The 26,148-nt window shown below is 44.0% G+C and overlaps 1 protein-coding gene and 1 long non-coding RNA gene across 2 annotated transcripts in view; both read right to left on the reverse strand.

The window, feature by feature from the left end:
- LOC124900546 (uncharacterized) overlaps nucleotides 1–21,385 on the reverse strand; it is a 33,418-nt gene extending 12,033 nt beyond the window's left edge. Inside the window, exon 1 of the long non-coding RNA XR_007096030.1 lies at nucleotides 1,459–21,385. This is a non-coding gene — a long non-coding RNA (uncharacterized LOC124900546). The remainder of the gene's footprint in view (nucleotides 1–1,458) is intronic.
- FSTL1 (follistatin like 1) overlaps nucleotides 1–21,723 on the reverse strand; it is a 58,700-nt gene extending 36,977 nt beyond the window's left edge. The window contains exons 1-2 of the mRNA NM_007085.5: nucleotides 21,628–21,723; nucleotides 21,415–21,477 (exon numbers count right to left, since the gene is read on the reverse strand). Of these exons, the coding sequence (NP_009016.1) occupies nucleotides 21,415–21,477 (63 nt within the window). The 5' untranslated portion in view covers nucleotides 21,628–21,723. The remainder of the gene's footprint in view (nucleotides 1–21,414; nucleotides 21,478–21,627) is intronic.
- Nucleotides 21,724–26,148: the final 4,425 nt, after the last annotated feature.

Genomic DNA, 26,148 nt, shown 5'->3' on the forward strand with positions numbered 1-26,148 from the left:
ATCTCTGGTCTCTGGGGCTTTCTGGAGCTGAGTGAGGATCAGTGAGGGAGGCTGCAAGTTTAATTTATGCATCACTCTGGAGCACCCATGAGTGTGGCCTTCAGCCATATATTTTATCATCCAAATGGGGACATTTGAGAGTTAAAGGAAACCTTTTAAACAGACACACTTGGACAACAGGCCTAAACTGTGACACATGGTCACCTTAATTACTAGGCTGCCTATGGGATGGGAAAATTTGTGGTTTTTATTTTAGAGAGTGAGGATGCTAACCTGGTATCTATGGGCCCCCAGAAACCCATCCATAAATTTTGGGACTGGATTTTCAAGGGGGCATGAATTTTTCAATACTCAAAAGACCCAAACCCAAACCCAATAACCTAGGAAAGACAAACCCTAATTTACTGCTCTGGGCATGAACTGCCTTTTGTAGCCTTAATCTCCCTTGATTCAACAGCCACAGGAGGATTTTCTAGGGTTCTGCTGCTGGGAAGCTGGGGAGCCTCAGCAGATGGGACCATCTTTGCTTCTAAGTCTTGATCATTACAAATCCTTCCAACTACTCCTCTAAAGAGACAATCATTCATTTCACACTTTGTCACCTAAGGGAGATAGTTCCCTATTCACTGTTTACAGCAATAAAGTGGTCAGTGGAGTGGGATCATTCCACAGCAGTGAGACCTAATATATCTGCCCCTGAAGGGGAGTGGTTTCCAGGAGTGCATTCTTACACATTCTTTAACATCTGAACTGAAAACAGTGGCACAGGGATCCTGTAGTCATGAAATCAGGGAAAGATCAGGCTCTCCCAGAGCACCAGCAGAAATGACTATGTTTTAGGCATAAGCTAGCCAGCCTAGATATTATGAGCATGTGGTTCAGCCACAGGCTCAGTTACAAAATTGCAGGATGTTTAAAGGGTAAGGCCCACCCAGAGTGCGTCTCCTAGAATTTTCTCAGAGACTTTGGGAATCACAGCCATCTGGTAGGAGTTCCTGACAGTTACTCATTGACTCAGGCTGGTGGTGACCCTCTTCTCAACCCTGGTTTAAGGCTGGGAGTCCCTGGGCCAACATGCCTAATTTATTGCACCTATTACTCAGACAGGTCCTGAAAAGTAGAGCACAAGTTTCTGAGCTGAGTTTGGAACTTCTCAAGATTTCTGGGGTGGTCAGGAGGGGCTCCTTAAAACCTGTAAGCATCAATTTTAACACCATTGTTCTCTACTAGGCATGGGTGTCAGGAAGTTCTGGCACCCTCTACAGGTCCCCTGGATTTTAATAGTCCAGTTTAGAGGAATGTTAATCTTTGTGGAACAAACTAAGAACTACATAAAATCAGTTCCTTTGAAAAGAAAAGCAACAATCCAAACACAAATTAATCTGCATTTCCTTATCAATATCTAACATGGAAATAGATGAAATCTATAAGTAATATACAGGACAATCAAAAACATACCAAACATCATGCCAAGTGCCAGGGGCTCAAGGAGGAGTAAAGCACACTCTGTGTCTCTAAGGAGCTTGTAGCTTAGGTGAGAAGCTAGGGGAATGAATATATGCAATTTTAAATAACAGAACAACACAATCTAATAAGAGATAACTCAAGACAATGTGTGGCTATGGTTAAGTGACAACTGTCTAGAGCAGTGCTGTCCAACAGAAATAGAATACCCATCTCATACAGAATTTAAAATTTTCTAGTAGGTACATTTTTTTTTGAGACGAAGTCTCAATCTATTGCCCATGCTGGAGTGCAGTGGCATGATCTCAGCTCACTGCAAACTCCGCCTCCTGGGTTCAAGCAATTCTCCTTCCTCAATCTGCTGAGTACCTGGGATTATAGGTGCCTGCCACCATGCCCGGACAATTTTTGTGTTTTTAGTAGAGACAGGGTTTCACCATGTTGGCCAGGCTGTTCTTGAACTCCGGACCTCAAGTGATCCACCACCTCGGTCTCCCAAAGTGCTGGGATTATAGTTGTGAGCCACCGCACCCGGCCTCTGGAAGGTACCTTTTAAAAACTCAAAAGAAATAAGGTGAAATTAAGTGTAATCACTTATTTTAAGAAAATATATCCAAAATATTACCATCTCAACATGTAATCAATAATATGGAGATATTTTAGACTTTTTTCATACTAAGTCTTTGGAATCTGGTATGTCTTTTACACTTACAGTACATCTAAATTGGACTAGCCACGTTTCAAGTGCTCAATAGCCACTGCAGCTAGTAGCTATCGGCATTGAACAGCACAGTTCTAAACAGTTATGGCTGGATGCGGTGGCTCACGCCTGTTATCCCAGCACTTTGGGAGGCCAAGGCGAGACGATTCCTTGAGGCCAGGAGTTTGAGACCAGCCTGGGCAATATAGCAAGATCCTGTCTCTTAAAAAAAAAAGAAAAAGAGAAAAAAGGAAATAAAAATAGTTCTGAGTTCTGACCTCACTGCATCGGAGGAGGAGGGTTTGAGGAGAAAGAGGACGACCTTCTTTAACTTGGAATACTTTTCAAGTGGTGTATAACTGAAGTCAATAGAGATTATCTGAACATACAGGCAAGGCAGCATGTCAGGCTGCATCTGGGACCAGGATACTGAGTAATGAGGACCTAGTCCTTCAAAAATAGGCAGGCGTCATGGGCACTTAGGCTGAATTCTGGCTGTTTTCAATGCCTGTGGACAAGTCATTTCACCCTTCTGGTCTCCTCTATAAGAAAGGTAAAATGTTTGGTACTTCCTCTCTGTAAGACTTTTTATGGCTCAGCTCAGAAACAATGACAAAAGGGCTAATTAAGCTGTACATATTTGGAGCCTTCTCTTAGCTAAATATGCTTTTTTGGGGGCATACAAATCCATGGACAAATTTGGCAATGAGATAGATATATCTTTTCAAAACCTTTTTAAAACATTTTCTTGGCTTGACTGCTACACTCTCTTACTGCCAGCTTTCAATATTACACACACACAAACACAGTTTCAGTGCCTTGAGATTAAAGTCAATGAAAACATGCACATTCTATTCTTCTTGAGACATTCCTGCCTTGCATTCTTTCCTTGAAGCAGTTGGGATGTCACAGCTGGGGGGAAGGAGCTGTAAAACCTACTTATGCTGGCCAATCAGGCCTTGGCTGACAGGAGGCCCACCAATGAGGGACTGCCAGGTATTCCGTTCCGCTGCAACAAATTCCCCCCTATTTTTTCAGAAATTAAAACCCTCCGAGACCCTCAAGCTGTACACAATGCACAAAGACCTCCTTTTTTGTTCATTCTGTTTTTCCCCAAGGACTGCATTAGAAACTCTACACAAAAATGTACTAGCTTAGTTGCTATGGATAGATTATCATTTGTGGTAAAAACACTTCCAAGTATCATGTAACAATATTGTTCTCACAGCTCTGGTATCCTTCATTTTAACTGTGTAAACACTGGAGAAATGCCACATATTTAACTGTTTGGGGTCACCCTGAGGAACTCCCAACTCCACTGAAAAATGAAGTAGTATGCTATGGTAAGTCCGGGAACTCTGACTTAAGGAGTTAAGGCCACAGGTAAGTGGAGGTGGTTGGCCCCCAGGGACTTCACTCAATGCTGTCCACTGTGTTAGCGGTGGAACGTTCCCCAGAATGAGACTTCGCCTCTGAGATCTTAATGTGCAAATCCAGTGACACTGAATGCCTTTTGCTTTGTTTTATCCATACTGGAAACATCACAGTTGCCATTCAAATGAAACCAGAGAGAAAGAGTAACAGCAGGAAGGATCCAAAAAAGTAAAGGCTTCAGCAAAAGGTGAGGTCCAAAGACAAAGGTGACTAGTGACTATGGGCAAAGAATTACCAACAACAGAATTTAATGCTTTATTTCATATTCTTTGGGACATTAGCTTCCTCTGGGAATGGTGCCAAGTTATATTAAAATTGCTGATCATGGAAGGAAACAATAAAAATATTTACTATTCAGCTAGCCTCTGCTTAACTTCCAACTTCACCTGGGACTGAGAGACTTAGAATCCAGGTGTCTGATTAAGCAAGCCCAGCACTACTATCATGTCCAAGATTAAGCAAACTGTTGACGGGCAAGTGCTGTCAACCATCTTCCCAGATGCACAACATTCTTGCAAAATACGGCACAGAGATGACTATCATTAAGATACAAAGATTGTAGGCACCTCTTCGTATTACATATGAGACATTTGGCCTTATTAATCCATTTAGCTAGTGGATTAATTCAAAAAATATTTACTAAGCATCTACTATACACTAAGCACAACTGGTTCTAGGTATTAGAGATCCATTGCAGAATGAGAGAGACAAAGCCCTATTCTAAAGGAGTACATGCTCTAGAGGGAGGAAGGTGAATAAACAAACAAAAATAACAAGTTCATTTCAGCCTGTGATCAGTAAGTTTAGAGGAAAATAGAGTATGTATGACAGAACTCTGGGAGAGAGGGCACCACTTAGATTGAGTGGTCAGGGAATGCTTTCTTGAGCTGGGACCTGAAGGATGAGAGCAATTCAGACGAAAGTAGAAAAGTGCAAAGGTTCTGAAGCAGGGTGGAATTTGTTACATTCCTGGAACAGAGAAAAGGCCAGTGTAGCCATAGCACTGGGTCCAAAAGCCAGAGCAGCAAGAGGTAAGCTGGGAAAAGCTGGCAAGGGGTAGAGCATGTAGGGTTTTAAAGGTACTGATAAGTCTGTATTTTATTCTTAATGCAATGGATGTCACTGGGGGGTTTTGCTCAGGGAGTGGCATGATCAGATATGTGTTTTACAAAGATTACTCAGGCTGTCCTGTACAGAAAGAGCCAGGTCGCAGGAGAGAGAAAGCGGAGAGCAGCTAGGTGCTATTGCAATAGTCCAGGCACAATGATGGCAGCTTGGCTAGGGTGGTGGCGGTGGGGACAGAGGACAGTCAATGGAGAGGTGATACATTCTGACAGTACAGAAGGCAGGACTTGCTGATAGACTGGGTATGAACAGAGAAAGTGAAAAATAAAAGAGAAAATTCCTGGGTACATAAGTTGATATCCAAAAGCCCAGCCAGTTCTGGGTAGGTGTGCACATGGCCATGCTGATGGTCCATTCTAGAGTCACTACCAAGAGGATCTTCTCTGAGACAGGCTCTGGGTCCAGACAAGTCCCTTGCCTTCCTGAGGAAACTTAGTTTATGAGGTGAGTTCAGCAAGGCCACTAAGACCTGGGGTCACATATAAATAGATCCTGTTCATGGGAAGTCTGTCCATGGAACACTAGCCTTGAAATATTTATGGCCTTTTTTGAAATGGTGTTCTGTGGTAAAATGTTTGGGAAACATTACTTATTATACTTCCTTCTAGAGTCATAAACGCACACGAACTTTGTAAAACTCTGGAACATCCTCTAACTAAAAAACCATTTAACCCAGCACATATATGGACTTCACTCACTACACACTTTGGGTCTAGGCTCTTCATGTCTCTCCCTATGGTGTTATTACCGTTCCTTGGAATTCAAGCCATAACAACAAGGAGAACAATAGCAACTACTATTTATTGAGTACTTACCTTGTGGGAGGCACCTTTGTAGACATCATCTCCCTTGCCACACACTATGTACAGGTGCCATTTTAATTTACAGCTTTAATTATCATTTGTGAGTTGTGCTTACAGAGCATACATTTACTTACAAAAAACAGCCAGGCACGGTGGCTCATGCCTATAATCCCAGCACATTGGGAGGTTGAGTCAGGGAGCTCACATGAGGTCAGGAGTTCAAGACCAGCCTGGCCAACATGGTGAAACCCCATCTCTACCAAAAATACAAAAATTAGCCGGGCGTGGTTGCAGGCACCTGTAATCCCAGCTACTTGGGAGGCTGAGGCACGAGAATTGCTTTAATCCAGGAGGCAGAGGTTGCAGTGAGCCGAGATCCTGCCACTACACTCCAGTCTGGGCGACAGAGCGAGACTCTGTCTCAAAACAAAAACAAACAAACAAAAAACAGTGATATATCTTTTCTGATCATATACATCTGCAGTGTTCACTCACAGTATTTTCTCATGAAGCACTTAACAGAAATTCTTCACTCAATTGCCTCATCTGCATTTGCTTAACCCACTAAAATTAACAGAGTTTCCCACGTGCATCACCACCTCCCTTCTTCCAGTCTTCCTCATCACTATTTTCCTCCTCCTTATTTGTTCTACCCACTTCTAGGACAAGAACCATTTGGGGACAGTTCATTACATGCTTTGAACACTCTTAGGCTTACAATTCCTAACTTTTGTCTCTTTCTCAGAGACTGTCATGACTTTCTGAATATGGCTACTGTCACATCTGAGCCCACAGACTGGCAGTCTAGAGCCTCAGCTATCTATCTGAGCCCCAAATACATGCACACACTTCAGCCTAGGCAGAGAAAAGACTTTTTCCTGGAGTCAGAGTCAAACAACAAATCACTGGAGAATGAGGAAGTCTTTACATTCCAGGCCACTGTAACATGAGTAATTTCAGTCACTACACGACAATGCCATTTACACTGGGCAAAATAATTATAGCATTACCTGGAAAATAACCCAATCAACCAACGGAAACACAGCCACTGGGGAGGAACCCAGCTTGCTCTCTAATCCACACAGCAATTCCATGGAGCAACTTAAACAGGAAATGAAGAGACTTCTATTTGATCAAATGTGTATGGGGAATTTGGAGGAAAAACGCAATTACCTAAGCTGTAAAATGACCAACATAGTGGGGTAGTCATCCTCAAGCGCTGGTTGTTTTTACAGGATTTCATATCCCTATCACAGTTTATTTTTGTAAAAAAAAAAAAGTATCTAAAATAGGACACGTAATAAACAAAAACAACCCCAACATGGTTTCTTATTATCTAGCTTATATATGTTCCTTTGTAGAAAATGAAAAAACACAAAGACTCTTCTCCAATTGTATCTGTAAGAGGAAGCGGTTAACTTTGTAACTATCCTTTAAAACAACATGGTCCACAAGTAGCTTGGGGAGTTTTATTAAGAAATAAGTCTGCAGTGAGTACTGAAATTATTATACCCAACATTTAGCCAAGACTTGAATGTCTGGCCTCTACTCAAAACATTTCCCAGTCCCATTCTCCCTTCTAGTTTCATCTCCCAAGAAAGGAGATTGAGAAACCCAAAATGGACTCACACCTGAAGTGTGTTCCTACTGGGAACTGGGGTTTTCTTTGATCACTATCAAGCCCTTGGTGCCACACAGAAAATTACCCTTCTGTGGAACAGGAGGCAGACACCAATTAATGCATAAAGTGAATGTCTTTCTCCTTAAAATAAATAGCTAAACCAGAAAATCTGCATCTCTGCATGTGGCTGTCAGCAAGACCAAGGCCACATAGGATAAGAAAGGAAAGAAAATAGAAAATGTCAAGGAGGGAAAACTAGAGGAAGGGGAACAAAGCACAAACAGACACATTCCTGAAAGACTGCTGGGACTCTAGGGAGAAGCCAGGTGAATTTCCTGCTTCTGATATAGGACTCAGCCTGTCCCTGTAGCACCATAATTATAGCACATAGTGCAAAACCAGGGATGGTGGTGCCCTGGGAGAAGCGAAGCTGCGTGCTCCGAGTATTTGTGAATGACTGGCAAGCATACATCTGCCTCCATCCCAAAGCAAGTTTTGTGAGCTCGGCTGGGCCACCAAGAAGCCATGCTGGGCCCTCCTGGTAGGGACCCTGACAGTAAAGGGAACTCAGTATGTCTGAGTCTTTGCTCAGGGTGAGCATCTGTATTTCTGTTTCAATAGTGTTTAGCCTCTCTGATAGAAATTCCACTGTATCAATTTCACACTACAGTTTAGGTGAGCCAGGTATATGTGTGAAGGGGATCAGAAATTTCTCGGACCATCTTTGAGGTCCCGTCCATTTTCTTTTTCTCTGTCACAAATGTTATGCCACAAACTACAAACTTGGGCCCTCTCAATAGCTAAAAATACATGTAATTAGCCCAACCCTTACAGAAGCTAATAGGATATGTTGGCTGTGGGATTAGGGAGGGAAAACCTATGTCTTATTTTTGGAATATGGTAGGGAATGAGTGAATGAATGACATGCACTTATTAAATTCATTAACAGGCAAACTTCACACCATAAAAATAAGCACTGGTTTATGTGCCTAGGCTTAGAAAGAAATCAGGGCAGTATAACATAAGTCAAACACTAAACTAAATTAAAACAAAACAAATTCCACAGGAATTTTTGTGAGAAAAGTCTCACTATTAGAGCTATAGGGAGATGGCCATGTTCTCCTAGTGGTGAAATTTAAGTCAGTGTCTATTTGTGTGTGTGTGTGCATGTCTCCTTGTGTATTCTGTATGTACACAGACACATATCCATGCACACACACACACACACATATAGTCTACCCTGGGGCACAGCAAAATTTAATTCAATTCTAACCTGTACTGTACCCTTACTAGAAAAGCCACCTCCAATATTGAGCTGGCTGGCTCCCCAGTCAGGATCAATAGCACGATTTAGCACATTGGGATTTTCTAGTGAGATTCGGGAACTGGAGTACAGGCAAGGTACCAAGCATTTCAGCAGGACTAAAACATCTGCATTGGCCTCTGTTTCCTTACTGTGTTCACCCTAACAAGTCACTTGATTTAACCATTGGGTCAAAGCCAAAGACCAGTGCCCATGGGCTGTAGTAAGAGCCTGATCTGACCAGAGATCAGGGCCAGGGGAGCAGGGCAGGCAATTCATTAATACTTGTTCAGGAGCCCCTGGATCCTGATCATGGGCCAGGCAACATGATGAGAAAGTAATAAGAAGGATTCCAGAAAACAAAATTAGGGTCCACGCAATAGTTTCAGACAACTATTTCTGTAAGCCATTTGCAATACTGCATCATTATTTTTAAAAGAAAATGTGAACATTTACAGAAGCGAGAAAAAGTTTTGTTTGCTTTTGTTTTTCAAGTAAGTTCAATAAATCCCAAACTGCACACTCTGAATTAGGGGTTGTCTTCCCTTTTTCCCCCCAAAATTTCTTGATCGACTACAAGGAGACCCAGGATTCTTCATTTCTTCCCCAGTGTTGTTGAGCGGTTGGCTTCTGAAGTGGAAAATCAAGTGATTCCTTTCTGTAGAGTAAACAGCATTTGGGATTCCTGGGCATGAAGACTGTTCAGGTGCCACATGCCGTACTGTTTATATTCCACTCACTACATGGCGAGAGAAAGTAAAGGACACAAGATGCCTCCTGTTTTTATTCACTCTGTTTTCTCATTCTTGAGCCAGCCTATCTTTCAAACTGTTCTTCACTAGGCTGTAAATCACCATAAGAGTTAATCAAATATCCCAATTCCATTAAGTAGAATATTTTGACAGTCTAGCCTAGAATATCCGCCTCCTTTTATATGAATAGGACTTCAAAGCTGCATTTTAGAGCCCACCTACTCTAACCCCCATATTTGGCAGATGAGGAGTCAGGTGGCTGCTCATTACCTGGGGTGCCACTGTCTGTCCTGAGTTATTCATCCCAGCCCATCTCTGGCCAGTAAATGGAGGTTCGTTTGAAGCCAGCTCACACCAGGGATGTCTGTAAACTCAGCCACAGTTTCAGTCAGCACTGCTGCTATCTTCACTCTGAACCTTTCAAGGCAGCTGAATCCTGACAGTCTCATAAATTCACTCACCTGTTTCCTATGTGTGCGACTCGTTGCCAGTCCCCCGGGACAGTTTAAGCCTAACTAAGAAAACTGGGGAAACGAGTGAGGACAGACAACCAAAGTAAGAGCTACAGAACCATGCAGATTGTGCTAAAAAGGCACAGAGCCAAGCAGACAGTGTCTAGACTTTAACTGGCCTCTCCCAGCGGAGAGGCGTGCAGGGAGGAGGCGAGAGCAAGGCCGGAAAGCCTGCTCGGGTTTTGCTCAGCTAATGCAAACACATGACACAACCTCTGACAGGCTCCAGGCTGGGGGTTTACTCTAAGACATTTCTTCCCAGGGGCTGGAATTCAGCTGGAGGCTGAGGAAATTCTGCTAATCCAGCAATCAGAAGGAAGCTGGGAATACTTGTTTTAATTCCTGGGGAATCACAGTTCCCAAACTAGACTGACTTGTGCAACAGCCCAAAGTAGCACACTGTGGGTACAAGAAACCAGATATTTAAGATTTCCATGTCTATCATCTCTGCTTATCTATGAGGAAAATCCACAAAAACACAGAACTGGCTTTTGATGGAGGCCTAGTACAAAAACTTTGCAAGAGTCTAAATGAAATCAACTTATAAGATGCACAAATGTAGAAATGACTGCCATAGTCTAATAAACATCACATGACTCAGAGATAACGTTGGGTTTGGGGAGCTTTGCACATCAGTTAGAAAAAAATGTGCTCCTTCCTGTGGGTGGGCAGACAAGCCCTGTGCCACACACAGGTACATGACACACTTGTGCAGTGAACAGTCTGTACAACCCTACCTAGCAACTCTGCTGGCGTTTTAGAGCTGTCTTGCCATTTGGCCTTATTTAATGCGGAACAGTTGTGAATACATCTGAAGAACAAAGAAATTGCCTTAAAACATCCCCCAAGGCTGGGCACTGTGGCTCACGACTGTAATGCTAGCACTTTGGGAGGCTGAGGAGGGAGGATCGCCTAAGCCCAGGAGTTAGAGACCAGCATGGGCAACAAGGTGAAACCCTGTCTCCACTAAAAACACAAAAATTAGCTGGGCCTGATGGCACATGCCTGTAGTCCCAGCTACTCTGGAGGCTGAGGTGGAAGGATTGCTTAAGCCAGGATGTAGAGGCTGCAGTGAGCTAAGATTGTGTCACTGCTCTCCAGCCCGGGCAACAGAGCAAGATCCTGTGTCAAAAAACAAAACAAAACAACTGGTACAAAAAAAAACCCCCAAAACTCCTAAGTCACTGATCATTAGGCTGCAAATGCTCCACTGTAAAAACTGCATTCCAATGTGACTCAGAAGTAAATGGACCTAATTCCAAATGGAGGTCATGCCTGCCATGTCTATGTGGCCAGAATGGCCAAGTCTGAAGTGTCATTCCAGGCACATAGCCATATAACAACTGATGTTACCTGGAAAGTTAAACGGCTGGGTCTCTACAATGCTGAGTGGATGTTACCTAGCAGAAGTGTCTTTGGTTTTCAAACTTCCACAAGACACAGTGACTATCAGTCATTTTTCAGAGCTCAGCTGGTGGGTCACTTCCTCCTGGAAGCGCTCCTGAGCCCTTCGTGCTGGGTTAGGTTTTCAGCCCTGTCCCAATACTTCTCACATTGCATCACTTTGAGCCTGTGTTCCTGTCTGCCTCCCCTCCGGACTGCAAGCTCTTTGGGCACAAGGTCTCTTATCCACCAGCACTAACTCAGTGCCTAACAGAGAACAGATTTGCAATACCTTTTGTTTTCCTCTTTTGAGTTGACTTTGAAAAATTTTACTTTGTCCCAGATGAGTGATGCAAAATAGTGTATTGAGACTTTGTGCAGTTTTATCTCTGCATCTAATGTGAACGTGGTGGTTCGTGAATGTTTGGCAGCTCCTACTGCAGCCCAGACACTTCAGGATGACCTCTCTGTAATGGTGAGAGAAGGAAAATAGAGGAGAAAGATGAAGGGAAGAGCAAAGAGCAACATAAGGAGTGGTACAGAGAGCTGGCTCCAGGGCCAGGAAGGGGTGGGCATGTGAGGCTGGCATCGGCCTGGCTGCAGACACAGCAGCCCCTCCCTAGTGGGACTGCAGGTCTGTGTGCAAAGTACCAGAAGCTGTGGCCTTGGCTCCCAAAGGGACAAATTCCAGCTTGCTCCAGGAATACTTCTTACCCTGTCTTTGAGAGTAATTGGCACTTATTTTTGAAATAATGAAAGCAAAGGATCCTATTCCTTTGCATTATCACATTTTCCACACCAACAATTTGAAATTTATTGCCTGGTAACAGGCCATGCTATGAAGACCACAGCAAAATGGAAATGACCACCCAAGATATCTGTTTGCCACCTTCATACATACCTCTTTTTTTGCCTTTTCTTTCTGTTTTCTTCCCAGTTATTTCCATTCACTCACTCTACCTTTAGGGAGAACCTATGCTGGCTTCCCATCCTACTGCCTCTGCACAGGAGATGCTCCATGAGTACTTCAATCTCTTCCTGGAGGAATGATAGAACTGTGGCTTCACAGAAGAAACACTACATAGAAGTTTAAGGGCAAGATTAGCTCAGTAGAAGCAAGGGTTCTGATATAAATTCTGGGCCTTAAAGCATCCACTGAAGTAAATATCCTAGTTTTCTCTTTAAAAAAGAAGGTGATAATTAAATCTCTGGAGAGAGAAAAAGAAGCAAGGAGACTTCTGTATGCCATGAACACACATATACACGTGCGTGAATGTGTGTGCAAACACACGTGTGTACACACATGTACACACACACACACGCACCCATGGCTTTTGGAGTTCGTCCCCTAGAGATGCCCTGAAGATGATAATACCAACTAACACTGCACACTGTGTGCCAAAACACTCTGCTTTACATGTAAGAGCTTATTTAATTCTCACAACCAACCTATGGGGTAGATACTCTGGATTAAGCCCGTTTTAGAGATGGGGAAACAGGCTCAGAGAGGTTTTAAGTAGTTTTCCCAAGATCACATGGCTAGTAAGGGCAGTGCTAGGATTTAATCTAGCTTCCAGGTCTGAGCGCTAAGCCATTATGTTATACTTCCTCTCGAGGAAAAATCAGTAATCAGAGTAACAACCTGAGCCAGCACAAAGGCTGTGCAAATAAAGACCATGCCTAGTGGATGTTTACTTGTATACTGAGGATTCTCCTGGTGAAATCATTACAGAGTCAAAAACATAAGCGACCCTTCATCTCTTGCAGGTATTTGTTTTTGGTGTTGACTATACACCATGAGTAGAGGAGACCTTTTCCAAGATCTAATCGAGTAGACAGGTAGAGACACAGGAATGATTCCCATTCTACTGGTAAGGAAAGTGACTTCGGGGAGGTTAAGTAACTTGCACAAGGCCTCACAGCTGGACAAGGCCAGAATTCAAACTCAGTCCACTGCCCCAAAGCCCTCGCTCTTAACTGAAGATACAAGTTAGAGACATTATGTGACTTTAAAAAGGTGCCCAGAAAAGGGCACAGCAGGACTTCTAAGTTGGACTCTTTCATTGTTCTACAGCGTTGCTCTTAATAACAAAATGGGTTTGTTACAGAGTCTATGAAAAAGACAGAGTTAGGCCTGGCATCGTGGCTCACGCCTCTAATCCCAGCACTTTGGGAGGCTGAGGCGGGTGGATCACTTGAGGGTGGGAGTTCCAGACCAGCCTGGCCAACTAGGTGAAACCCCATCTCTACTAAAAACACAAAAATTAGCCGGGTGTGGTGGCAGGCGCTTGTAATCCCAGCTACTCAGGAGGCTGAGGCAGGAGAATCACTTGAACCCAGGAGGCAGAGGAGGTTGCAGTGAGCCGAGATCGCACCACTGTGCTCCAGCCTGGGTGACAGAGCGGACTCCATCTCAAAAAAGAAAAAAAAAAAAAAAAAAAAAAGCAGACTTGGAGACACCCAGAAATGAGAACAAGAAAAGACAAAGAAAAATGGGAAGAGAAAAACAGCAGACCCCCAGAACGGTCACAAGGTAAGATAAAGTGAAGGGGAACATCACACTCTGGGGACTGTTGTGGGGTGGGGGGAGGGGGGAGGGATAGCATTGGGAGATACACCTAAGGCTAGATGACGAGTTAGTGGGTGCAGTGCACCAGCATGGCACATGTATACATATGTAACTAACCTGCACACTGTGCACATGTACCCTAAAACTTAAAGTATAATAATAATAAATTAAAAAAAAAAGTTCCACACAAAAAGCTGCCATCTACTGGACATACTGATTAGGTGGACAGGCTGAAAAGGGCCCCAGCTGCCCAAGTGGAGTCTTTCAAATTCTGAGAAGGCAGGGGCCATCTATCCCACTGCCATGTTTCAGGATTTTCTGAAGTAGTGCCAAGAGGTGAGGAAGGGGAATTTCTGCTAAAGCCTTACATCTGACCCCTAATGGCCAAGCAGCGATGGTGGTAGCAGCTCCTTCAGAACAGGGATCTGTATGGTAAGGCTTTTTAGTCCCACACTCTTCCTAATAGTAGCTTATGTGCAAACTGACTAGCATAATGCCTGACACTTCTGTAGATCCATAAATTACACTTATTAACTGTCATTGAAGGATAAGAGGAAAGACAGGGGAAAAGACAAATTTTGCCTCAGACATAGGATTTTAAATCTTGAAACAACAAAAAGTATAGAAAGACAGAGAGACGTTTTCCTTACATCAATTCAAGCCAATATCCCATGACACACACACACACATGCACACATGCATGCACATATAAATCTGGGCCTGCAACATGTGATAGCTTTTGTCATGTATCATATGACCTGTTTGTCAACAGCTTAGTTGGTCACAAATGGTGTCCAGGATTATTCAAGGGACATATGGGGGTCATACATTCAGACTAATCCTGGGAATAGTTTATTGGTGATGGCTTCCAAATGAGCATCTAAAGTCTGTGAAAAGATTAAATGGAAATCCTCCAACCAAAGCAGGAAATGAAGATTTATGGGAATTATTTTGTACTCCAACTACCCAAAGAGCATTCTATTAGCAAGTTATTGCCAGGCTAATGCAAAAGCTGTTATCTATGACAGCAGCAGCTCTTAGAACTTTAGCAAGAGCAACTGTTTACTTCATCAGAATAGCCAAGAAAATTCTCGTTATATTTTTGTTGACTGGGCCAATGTTAGAAGGTCTGGCTTACTTTAAGGTGTTCAGATTCATCCAAAGAGCTTAGAAACTTGGGCCAAAATCTGGTGTAAGTGCTATTTTCCTGACATTTCATCCATTTGCTAACCCAGTTCTATCATCTATTACCCTATGTTGTTTTTGTCAGTTTCATACAGTCCCAAACTCTGTCTTCTAATTATCTTAATTTTGGCTAAAGATGTGTCAATGTTTGTCAAATTGGACTGATTTACCATCCAGCAGGGATGGTAAATAGCTTTCATCTCATATAGACTCTGATTGCTAGTGGCTACCTAGAATATTGCTGAGTAGGATTTTCAAACCTTCTCCAAGTTCAGTAGGAAAGAATTCTATGATTGATTAGAAATGTCTGTCATGGGTAAGGGAGAGGGTAATGGTAATATGTATGCCACGTCTGTGCCATCTCTGAAAGGCCATTTACCACCCCACCTTTTTCTCCTTAAGCAATCCCTGAAGTCCTGCCCCTTGGATATTTCATCCAGTGCCTTGACATCGTGACGATTCTTGTGATCCCCTCCTTTTTTCGAGAGGAATTTTCCCTTCTCCTAATATGTGGTATTTTATTTAAATAAAAAAGTTAATGTGTTATTTTCTGATAAAATATGAAAATAAAATATGCCAATTAAAAGCTTAGAGAATATAGAAAAGACTAGAGCAAAGAATAAAATGACCCATAAATCCACTACCTACAGATAATTTCTAACACATTTGTTTGTTGTACTTTTCTATAAATTTTTACAGTCGTGAGAATAAAGCTGGGGGGTGTGTGCTTTTTAAATTAAATTATAATCATTTGCCGGCGCTTCAAAATGTTTTTGTAAATGCTTTTGGTGGCACATACAGCTGTTCCATGATTTATTTAACCCTTCTCCTACGGTTGACTATGTAGTCAATGTTAAGTTTTTTGCTGTCATAAATAACATGACTGACATCTTATGTAGAGTCCTTTCAAAAGTAATAATGACCAGGGCAAAGTGGTCTAACAGAATGATTTGAGTTCTTTGTGGAATTCAATATAGATTACAGTGAGCCCTGGAATATCTATCCATCCACAAAACAGTCAAGAAAGCTCCCCAAAGCAGATCTAAAGTTTACTAAAATGGATTAATGTCAATTAAGGCTGTATTTCACTGTGTTTGCTGCACATCCTTGTAGCTAACAAGGAAAGCCATTTATTGTTAACAAGTTAAAATGTTAAAAATAACATCCAAATAGTAAGTCTCATATAGAGAGGATTAATTTATCTTTCATTAATTATTGAAGGTTTGCTGTTGTTAAAACATGGATTAAAAACTTGCTAAATGTTACCTGGGCTAGACACCAAGAGAAGAGACAGATTAAAAGATAGCCATCTTTGGGCAGAGAGTCATGAAATGTACCCTAGATCATCCCTATCCCTCATTTTCTTCATGGTAACTTTTCCTGTATGTAACTTCATGGTAACATACAGGTTCATACCTTTCTGTACTAACTCCCTCAGTCTTGTCGCATGGTGCCTACATGGGCCAGATGTAAAAGTTCATGAAGCTATACATGGAAGATTTGTGCATTTTGCTACCATAAAAGGATCTTACAAAGGAAGGCCCTACATTAATGTAAATTAAAAAAAAAACAGCAATAAGTATAAAGCTACTAGTTACTATGTAGTTATAATAATATAAACTGTAGCTGCCACGATTTAAAGCACCTGGACCCACCACTAGACTGTAAATAATGTGAGGGCAGAGACCATGCCTTGTGCTTCACTGTGACTCTGACCTGAGTACCAGGTGCGCTCAGCTGCAGCAGGGGATAGGCTCGATGAGGACAGTGAAGGGAAGGCCACGCCATTCATGGCATACTCTCAGAGAAAGCACCCCTTGCCAAAATCGCAGGAGTCAGAATAGAGCATCCTAAACAAAAAGTATGCATTTGCCCTCTGAGGACATTAATCATCTGGCTTACAAAGTGAACCTATCTAATGTACTTTTTTTCCCTATTAACTGGTATCATTAAGCTAATAAAATTTATGTCTGTTAGAAACATTCTGCCAGATGTCCAGTTATTTGAAGAGGACTAAGACAAAGAATCCATGACATTTTCAATTCTCATATGTGATCACTGGTAATTTACAGCTCATCCTTTACTTCCTATTCTTGTGGCAGCATGTGTTGCTCTGCCCCACTGACTTCAAAGACTTTCTTTTCGTCTTTGGGGCATTTCCTCTCGGATCATTACATCCACTTCAGCCCATGACCAGATCTTCACCTCATGGTTCCTCTCCAACTTGCTTCTATGAGCCTGGGGATGGAGTCCTGGTTTCTGTCACCCAATCCAGAGACTTCTAGGGGAACTGTAACGTGTCCACCTTCTAAAGCCACTTGCGATGGCCAGGGCCTCCTATGCTGGGTGCTTGCCCTTCTGTTCTGGCTAGTCTGCACAGCCCCTGCTATGTTTTACACCCCAATTTCCAGCAATGGTCTTTAGAACTGCAACAAGTAGCTTATTTGCCAAAGGATAAACAAGCAAGAGATCATTTTAGAGATCTTTTTAGCTTTGTTAATAATACAAGTTGTGGCACCAAGAAGATGCAGTCAGAGATATGGGTTAGATGCAAGGCTTACTTGAGTCTACCATCAGAACAATTCTAAAGAACATAGAGGAGCTCCCAAATATAACCCCTAGTGTACAATGCCGATAATAGGGTACGGTGAGGTTAAGAAACGTGGCCTCAGGACAAAGCCCTCATAATCTTCTAGTATTGCATGTCTAGAGCTAAGTGAAGTACATCTATTTGTAGAATTGCTATTGTTCTCTCTTAGGTAATACACTCAAAGTTCATGGGTCAAGCATGGATCCCTTACTGGAATGAGGATTCTGAACTACAAATCAGTTAACTGTACATGTGACTTATCATAATGAATTTCTAGACCTGGAATGCTGGGAATCATAGTGACAGCAGAGACATCCACCAAGGGAGAGTGGGGGTATGCTTGGGTACTTGCCAGGGCTGTCTTCCTAAAGCAGGCAGTTGGGCCACAGGGTTCTCTCCAGCCTGCCATGTTAGAGTGACAGATATCCACTGACTGAGCTTCAAGGGCACACACACTACCGCCTGTGTTCTTAACATTTTCCCAGGCTCCATACTATGCATCCACCATCAACACTTCTCAATGAACTGTAGTAATTCCCAATGGGAGGGGGATGGGAAAGAGTAGATGAGCAGGCTCACACAGTCCTCTCCCCAGAGAATCTAGAAAAGGGATATCTGTGTAATTATTAGTGCAGGCACTCCCTCTGCTGCTGCCCTCTCTGCCTAGTCCATTCACATGTTAATCTACACACATCTAGAGACATATGCTACACCCAGTACCTTCTTTCAAGCAGACTACAGAGTGCATGGGTGTGTGTGCTCAGGTGGATGTGGCAGAATCTGGAGGGAGGCTGGCTGAAGGTATATGCTGCAGACAGAGTAGTAAGAGAGTGAGCAGGTAAGAAAGAGAAGAAGCAATCAGAAAGCAACCCTGAGGTGCCAAGGAAGTAGGACACCATGGAACACATTCAAAACAATATGACACTTTGCTTAATGAGTTTGTTTCTATTTTTTTAAATACAAGGTTTCACTCTGTTGCTCAGGCTGGAGTGCAGTGGCACCATCACGGCTCACTGCAGCCTCAACCTCCTGGGTTCAAGTGATTTTCCTGCTTCAGCCTCCTGAGTAGCTGGGACCAGAGGCGTGTGTGCTACCATGCCCAGGTAATTTTCTTATTTTTTGTAGAGATATGGTCTCACGATGTTGCCCAGGCTGGTCTCAAATTCCTGGGCTCAAGCAGTCCTCCCGTCTTGGCCTCCCAAAGTGCTGGGATTACAGGCATGAGCCACTGAGCCCAGGCTCCTTTATGACTTTTGTTAATAGCTTTGTGAATCTAACCAAATGGGATTGACATAGACTGGCATTAATACTGATGACAATCACCTTTTCCCAAGTGGAGAGCACCTCTGATTCTGGTTTACTACAGAGGCTCTGGCTTCTTCAAATATCAACATGATTTGTAAAGTGATTAAATTGTTTAAAAATATGCTGAATTAAATATTTATGGTCGCAGAAAAGCAGAAAGCACCAAGAAGCCTCAATTTATTTTCTAAATTTCATTTCTAAAAAGTTCAACAATATTTGTACAATTTTAGCGATTTGAAGTTTACTAAAATAGATTGTCACTAAGGACTGTAAATATCATGATGTGACCATTTTTGCAGACTGTCCTTAGAGTTAACAAGGAAGAAATTTAAACAGCAAGCACCATTAACTACAAGATAAAAGGCTTTTAAAAAATCCAAATTACAATTCCCATAGGGAGAGGGTTAATGTACCTCTTCATCAATTGTTAAAGGTATATTATTATTAAATGGATTAAAAACTTGCCAAATCTTACTTGGCCAGGCACCAGGAGGTTGGAATAATTAAAAGATAATAATCCTTAATAACCTGGAGCCATGAAATGTAACCTAGCTCATACCTACCCCTCACTCTTTTCATTGTAACCATTTCCATACACTGTGAGTTCACAGCCTCTTTTCTCCCCCAACGCACTCTGTTTTCACATCTCAGTACTTCTCTATTTTGCCTTCTTCCCTGTAGTTTGCCTGGGAATTATGTGAGAGCACTGGATGCTCTTCTACCTCCAGCAGGAAATTGCTGCTGGGGGAACTTCCTACCAGGGATAAGTTTTCCCTGTGTGGAAGGGGGTTGGGAGGGGTGTGTGTCTTGCAGGCCGCCTAGAATAGATTCCAGACCTTGGGCCACACAGCCTGGTAAGTCAACCAACAGCCTCCTCACACCTCATATTTGCATTCCAGTTCACTGAGTGATTTCACACACTGGCTGGCAATTCTTGAGCCTGCTGGAAAACCAACCAGGGATTCACCTCATCCATCACTGGTCTGCAACTGCCTTTTGAGGGCCACAGCAGGGGATGGAGAAATGTTTCTTAACCAGGGCTACATCAGCCAGTGAAGGGGGATACGCTCTCAAATGCAAACCCTGGAAAACCAGATGGATAAGAAGCAGACCTGGAGTTCAAGATGGGCTCCAAAGGTAAGAGAGGTAGGTTCAGATCCTGCTTCAGAGCTAACTAGTTGTATGACCCTGGGCAAGTTACCTAATCTCCTTAAACCTGTTTCTTCCTCTGTAAAATCGGGATAATAAAACCTACATTACAGGGTTTGGGAGCTTTAAAAGAAGTAACTGCAGGTAACGTACACAGCCCAGTGTGTGGTAAACAAAAATGTACTTGGTAAATGTTAAACCATTGTGCTTGGAAGTGGTGTGGGTTAATGGTCAAGAGCCTTGGGTCCGGAGCCAGACTGTTTGGGTTCAAATCCCACCCTTAGCATTTAATAGCTGAGAGCATTGGGTAACCTTCGCTGACTCAATTTATCTGTCATTAAAATGGAATTTTATTACAACATAGCAGATATTTAATAAATATTAGCTACTTTTATTTCATTGGCAGTAAAAACAGTTGATTGAGTTTCCACCTCAATCAACAACGTAGTAGTGAATTAAATGAGAATTCAGTACAATGCGTATTTTTTAAAAATTGTGAAGACCTTGTATGCATTTATGACTTTTTTGGGCAGAGTCAAGCTGCGATGCTAAGGGTGTGGTTAAACTGTAATATGAAGGAAAAAATTCAAACAGGGAGCATAAACCACCCACCAGGGAGCTATTTCTTTTGTAATGTGCATTCCATTTCTTCTCCCTCATGCTTTTTAATTCCTTCCATATTTCCTGCCATAATTATCAAATGTTTAGTTTCTGACCTCACTTTCCTGGAGACTGGAGCCCGGGGAATTTAGAATTGTTTATTTTCTGTCCATAAACCTTTGAGTTAATGGAGCGGCTTCTGAGCAAAGAGTTTGTTGGTTTGTTTGTAGTGTCTCAGGAAGGTCGTTAGAGTTGAAAAAATTGGTACAAAAAAACAAGCGCTGAAATGCTTTAACTGGAAACTCGAGCCCCCAAAGAGCAGAGCAATGGATCTTCTCTTACACTTGCGCAACGTTACAGGGAACACTTGGGAAAAGGCCGTTACATTGCCCAGATGATAACACAAAACCCGAGGACACTTCACAAAGAAGAAAATACATTTCAGAGAATCATGATCTCACTTTAAAAGAGAGAAAGGAAAATTAATTTTGCCCCAAAAGAAGAATCCCGATTCCTCTGCCCCCGCCCCCAGGAGACAGACTTGGGAGGGAAAAGTCCCCAACTACTCTCAGTCTCCTCTGAAGTGAAGGACGGAACTGAGGCGCCTTTTTGAACTCGCTGCTGCTCCAGTCGCCGCCTCGTCCCCGTCGGCCCAGCCCGTCCCCTCTCCTCCTCCCCGCTCTCCCTCCATGTTAGCCGCGGCGGGGCTCCCGCTTACGGCCCGAACTACTTTTCCTGCTTTAAAGATTTAAGTTTCGTAAGCAGCATTACTGCCCCAGCTCCACCCCAGCACACCCCAAGGACCGAAACTCCCAGCGCCACCCCGGGAGAGCATCCCCAGGACGCGCGCCCACCCGCCCAGCGCGCAGACCCAAGAGGCCCCGGGGACCGAGTTCGGACTCCTCGGCCCCTCGCCTACCTCGGCGCGGACCCAGGCGACCGCCACCAGCGCGAGCGCGAGCGCGAGCCAGCGTTTCCACATCTGCGGAAGAGAGAAGAGAGCGAGTCTGAAGGCGCCGGGCCCCGCGCTGACCTGGGAAACTTGCTCGGGTCCCGCAGGCTCGCTCCGGCCGCCCAAGCACCCCCGGCCGCCCGAAGAGTCCGGCCTCCGCGCCGTGCGCCCTGCGCTCACCGTGGTCTGGTCCAGGTCTCCTGGGGGCGCGGGGCAGGACGGCGGCAGCGAGCTGTAAGCGGAGGTGGGAGCTCCGCCGATCGCCAGCCTCGGAGGAAATGCGACCTCCCCTCGCCGCCCCTTAAGACCTCTCCTTCCCCGCCTGCCTGCCCCCCCAGCTCCTCCCCATTCTCCTCCCCCTTCTGCTGCAGCGGCCCCCGCGGCTCCCGCTCCCCCTCCTTCCGACCCCTGCTCCGGGGAGCCCGCGGGAGTCCTGGCGCCGCCGAACCCCTCTCTCCGCACGGTCCCTCGTCCGGCGCCCCTTCGGCCCCCTGGACGTGGAGCGGAGGCAGAGGGGGTGTCCCGTGGGTCCCTGCCACAAAGGGGTAGGGGGAAGGGAAACCCCACCCCGGGAGGGGCTGCTGGCTGGCGGCGGCCCGGGCGGGCTGCGGCGGTGGCCAGGTGGGCGGTGCCGTGGGGGGCCCGGGAAGGTCCGGGACTGGAACCTGGAGGAAAAGACGTCCCGCGGCCTAGGAAGCGGAGCCGCCCCCCATGGCTGAAGGGGGAGGCCCAGGGAGGCAGAGGAGACCCCGCATCCCGGGGTCACGGCAGCAGGGCAGCGGGGCACCGGGAAGTGGGCGCAGGGCCGGGAAGACCGGCCGGCGTGGGGAAGGCTGCTGTGGGTTCTACAGTGCATTGTCCCGGGTGAGGTGGCGGCCGCCCTGCTCTGCTGGGAAGATCCTGAGTCCAGCGTTTGCCGGCAGCCTCATCCCCTCCTTCCCTCGGGCCGGGGAGCGGTGTCCCCCTCCTCTCTTCCGCCCACTCACTCATCACCTGTGTCCCTCCTCCCATCCCTGTCATCCCAAGTAGCCTCTGTGTTCAGGATTGCCATCTTCACCACCTTCTTCCCAGCCCTTGGCCTTCGAAAGTGTGCTACCTCTTTGACAGGGTTAACTCCCTAAAATGCTCCTAATTAAGGCGCCTTTCCTGCCATAACTAGTAAGGAGAGCAGATCCACTTAGCAACTCAGATTTCACATGCCCAAGACTAAGCCTCACTTCCCCCAGCTTCAGGGCCTGCTTATCTACCTCTTTCAGGGTGGTTGCCTTCAAACCTATCTCCTTTTCTCAGAGCCGGCTTGTACCCATAGCCTGGCAGTTTAGCCGCTGAGATCTCATATGCATCCCCTCGCCTCCGTTCACATGTCCACTTTCCTAGGCCAGACCTTCATCCTCCCTCACTCAGAAATTCTGGAAACCTCCTTTCGTTGTCCTCTGACTCCAGGCTCTCCCCTGTAGTCTCCACTGCAATCCATTGTCATATTCTTTCCCTTATTTTAAACATTGTCTTCCTCGTGTTCATGTTCTTCCTCTACTCAGAAACTTCAGCGTTCTTCTACCCACATCAAATCCAAACTCTGCCTTTCTTATAAGCCCTGCATTACTGGGCCCACCCTGTCCATCTAACTTCTCTTCAACTACATCAGCATACTTCCTCCGCTCAAAGCAGGCCCATCTCCTCGTTGTCCTCTGAACTTGTCATACTCACTCTGCTGCCAAGGTTTGTTGAGTGCCCACTGTTGTGGCTTTAGGGGGCTTCAAGATAATACCCATGGTCCCCATGTAAGTTCAGAATCCACTGAGATAGCAACAGGAGTCAGACTTATGGAGAGCAAAATGTCAGCTTTGTCTCTGCTAAAGGCTGGAATGGCAGCCATGGCTTTAGATCTGCAGGGACAGCGGGCCCAGAATTGAACATGTCCACTCAGTCACAAGCAGAGCTGGAAAACCTGCCTGTGTAAAAACTAAACTGCATGGAAAAGCAGAAAATATGTGCCTCCTGGGACATGCCTGCTCCCCAAACTTGAGGGGGTAGAGTGACACATCCCCAGTTCTTTCAAACTCTCCAGTCAGACAACTTACTCCTGCTCCCTTGTTATGGTAATAAGATTAGGGAATAGATGTTCCGCACCAGATACTCTGTCTTGGTCACTGTGCAAGGATTGAAGGGAACTATTGTGGATAAAGTTCTGCCCTCGAATAACGCACAATACATTGCATCCCTTGCAGATCCACTGCACCCTCTCAGAATCTGGTATCATCTTTCCTCCCTTCCTCTTATCTACTAAAATGCTTGGGTTTGTTTGTTTGTTTTGTTTTCAGGAACCACGTCAAGTTTGCTTCCTTCATATCTTTTCTGACAACAGCTTGGCATGGTAGAAGGCACAGGAGGTTTGAGGTCAAACCAATCTGGCTTTCCATCCTATCACTGCCATTTACTAGCTGCATGGCCTGACTTGCATCAAATAATAAGCCCTCTGAACCTAGGTTTCTGCCTCTGACAAATGGCAGTGATAATGCCTTGCAGGGAGTTGTGAAATTTAAGCAGATGCATATAAAAAGTGCCTGGCAGGTAGTAGACCTCTGTATGTGATAGCCATTATTATTTCATGATCGGCTTTGCATCTAAATTGTAGTTGGTACTATACACCAGGTACTATGAAAGCCATTCAACATCTCTTATTTTATTTAATTTTCACAATAGATAGAAAGGAGGCTGGGCACGGTGGCCCATGCCTTGTAATCCCAGCACTTTGGGAGGCCAAGGCAGGCGGATCACTTGAGGCCGGGAGTTCGAGACCAGCTTAGCCAACATGATTAAACCCCGTCTCCACTAAAAATACAAAAATTAGATGGGTATGGTGGTGGGCACCTGTGGTGCCAGCTACTTGGGAGGCTGAGGCACCAGAATTGCTTGAACCCGGGAGGCAGAAGTTGCAGTGAGCCGAGATTGTGCCACTGCACTCCTGCCTGGGCAATAGAGAGAGACTCCATCTCAAAAAAATAATAACAATAAAAAATAAAAATTTAAAAAATACAGTAAATGGAAAGGTCTTTTTTATTGCTTCCGTTTTCCAAATAAAACTGAAGCTCAGGAAGATTTAGATACTTTCCCAAGTTTATACTGTTGGCTACACAGCCTTACAACTTGGGGCATTATATTGCAGACTGCTATACAATGTTTAACACTTGTTCTCATAGTTATTCTTGATTCTCCAGCTAGTTTTAAGTTGCTTAGAGCAAAAACAATGTTTTTCATATCTTTATCCTCTCTACATTTGGAACACAATTAATGGATTTGAGTATATCAAAATGAAATGAAAGATTCCTGTTCAACTGAGGGCACCATAGACAAAATGATAGAAGGAGATATAAATGTCTAAAACTGACATGTAACTCATAACACACACACATACACACACCCTGCAAATCAATCAGAAAAAGAAAACCCAATAAAAAAGGGCAATAGGTATGAATAGGCAATTCCCAAAAGGGGAACCCCAAATGGACAATAAATATAGAAAAGATACTCAACATCACTACTATTATTTAAATTGCACAACAACCATTTGAAATCAGTATTATTTTATTATCTCCAATATACAGATGAAGAAACACACACAGAGTTTAAGTAGTTTGTCCAAAGTTATACAGTAAATTATAAATGTCACTTTACACTCATCACAGTGGCAAAAATCAGACAGTTGGACAATATCAGTGTTAGCATGTGACTAGTGCAATCTTTGTGGTGTACTGTAGCAATTAAAAGCATGGGTTTATGAGACAGACTGCCTTGGTACAAAATTGCCTTGGTAGTAAATCTTAGCTTTACTACTTATTATGTAACCTTGGGCAAGTTACTTAACCCCTTGCATCTCAGTTGCCTCATCTGTAAAATCGTGATAATTGTACTGATTTCATAGAGCTATTGTGTAGATTAAATGTATCAATATGTAAAGTACTTAGAATAGTGTCTGGTACACAGTAAGCATATAAATAAGATGTATTACTACGGAAATAATTCACTAGAGAGCTCTTACAGGTACTGATGATAAAACTGTGCTGTGGCGTATGGTTAACTCTACAATAAATAAAGCAAAAGACAAAAATAAACTATGCAGTGGAGAAAATATTTTGAAATGAGATATTTGGAAATGTCTTATCATTAGGCTATTTTGTTATCCAAAACAATAAAAGTGTGGCACCATAAAAACTCTCGTGTATGCACATTTTAAAAACTTACACAAAATTTTCTAACCTGTTTAAAAATCTTCAGACAGAATTCCAGTGGCTTATTTACTCATTTGTTGAAAATATAAAAATATAATAACTTGGGACCAGCATGGTGGCTCACACCTGTAATCCCAGCACTTTTGGAGGCTGAGGTGGGATGATCACTTGAGCCCAGGGGTTCGAGACTAGCCTGGGCAAATGTGGCAAAACCCCGTCTCTATAAAAAATATAAAAATCAGCTGGGTGTTGTGGCATACCCCTGTATTCCCAGTTACGGGGGGAGTAGGGGGCCAAGGTGGGAAGATCACTTGATCCTGGGAGGTGGAGGCTGCAGTGACCCATGATTGCACCACTTTACTCCAACCTCCGTGACAGAGAGAGACCCTGCCTCAAAACAGACAAACAAACAAAAACTAACCAACCAGCCAAACAAACAAAAAACCTTTCAATTAATTTTGATTTCCAGAGC

Source organism: Homo sapiens, chromosome 3 (genome assembly GCF_000001405.40).
Source record: "Homo sapiens chromosome 3, GRCh38.p14 Primary Assembly".
NCBI lineage: Eukaryota > Metazoa > Chordata > Mammalia > Primates > Hominidae > Homo > Homo sapiens.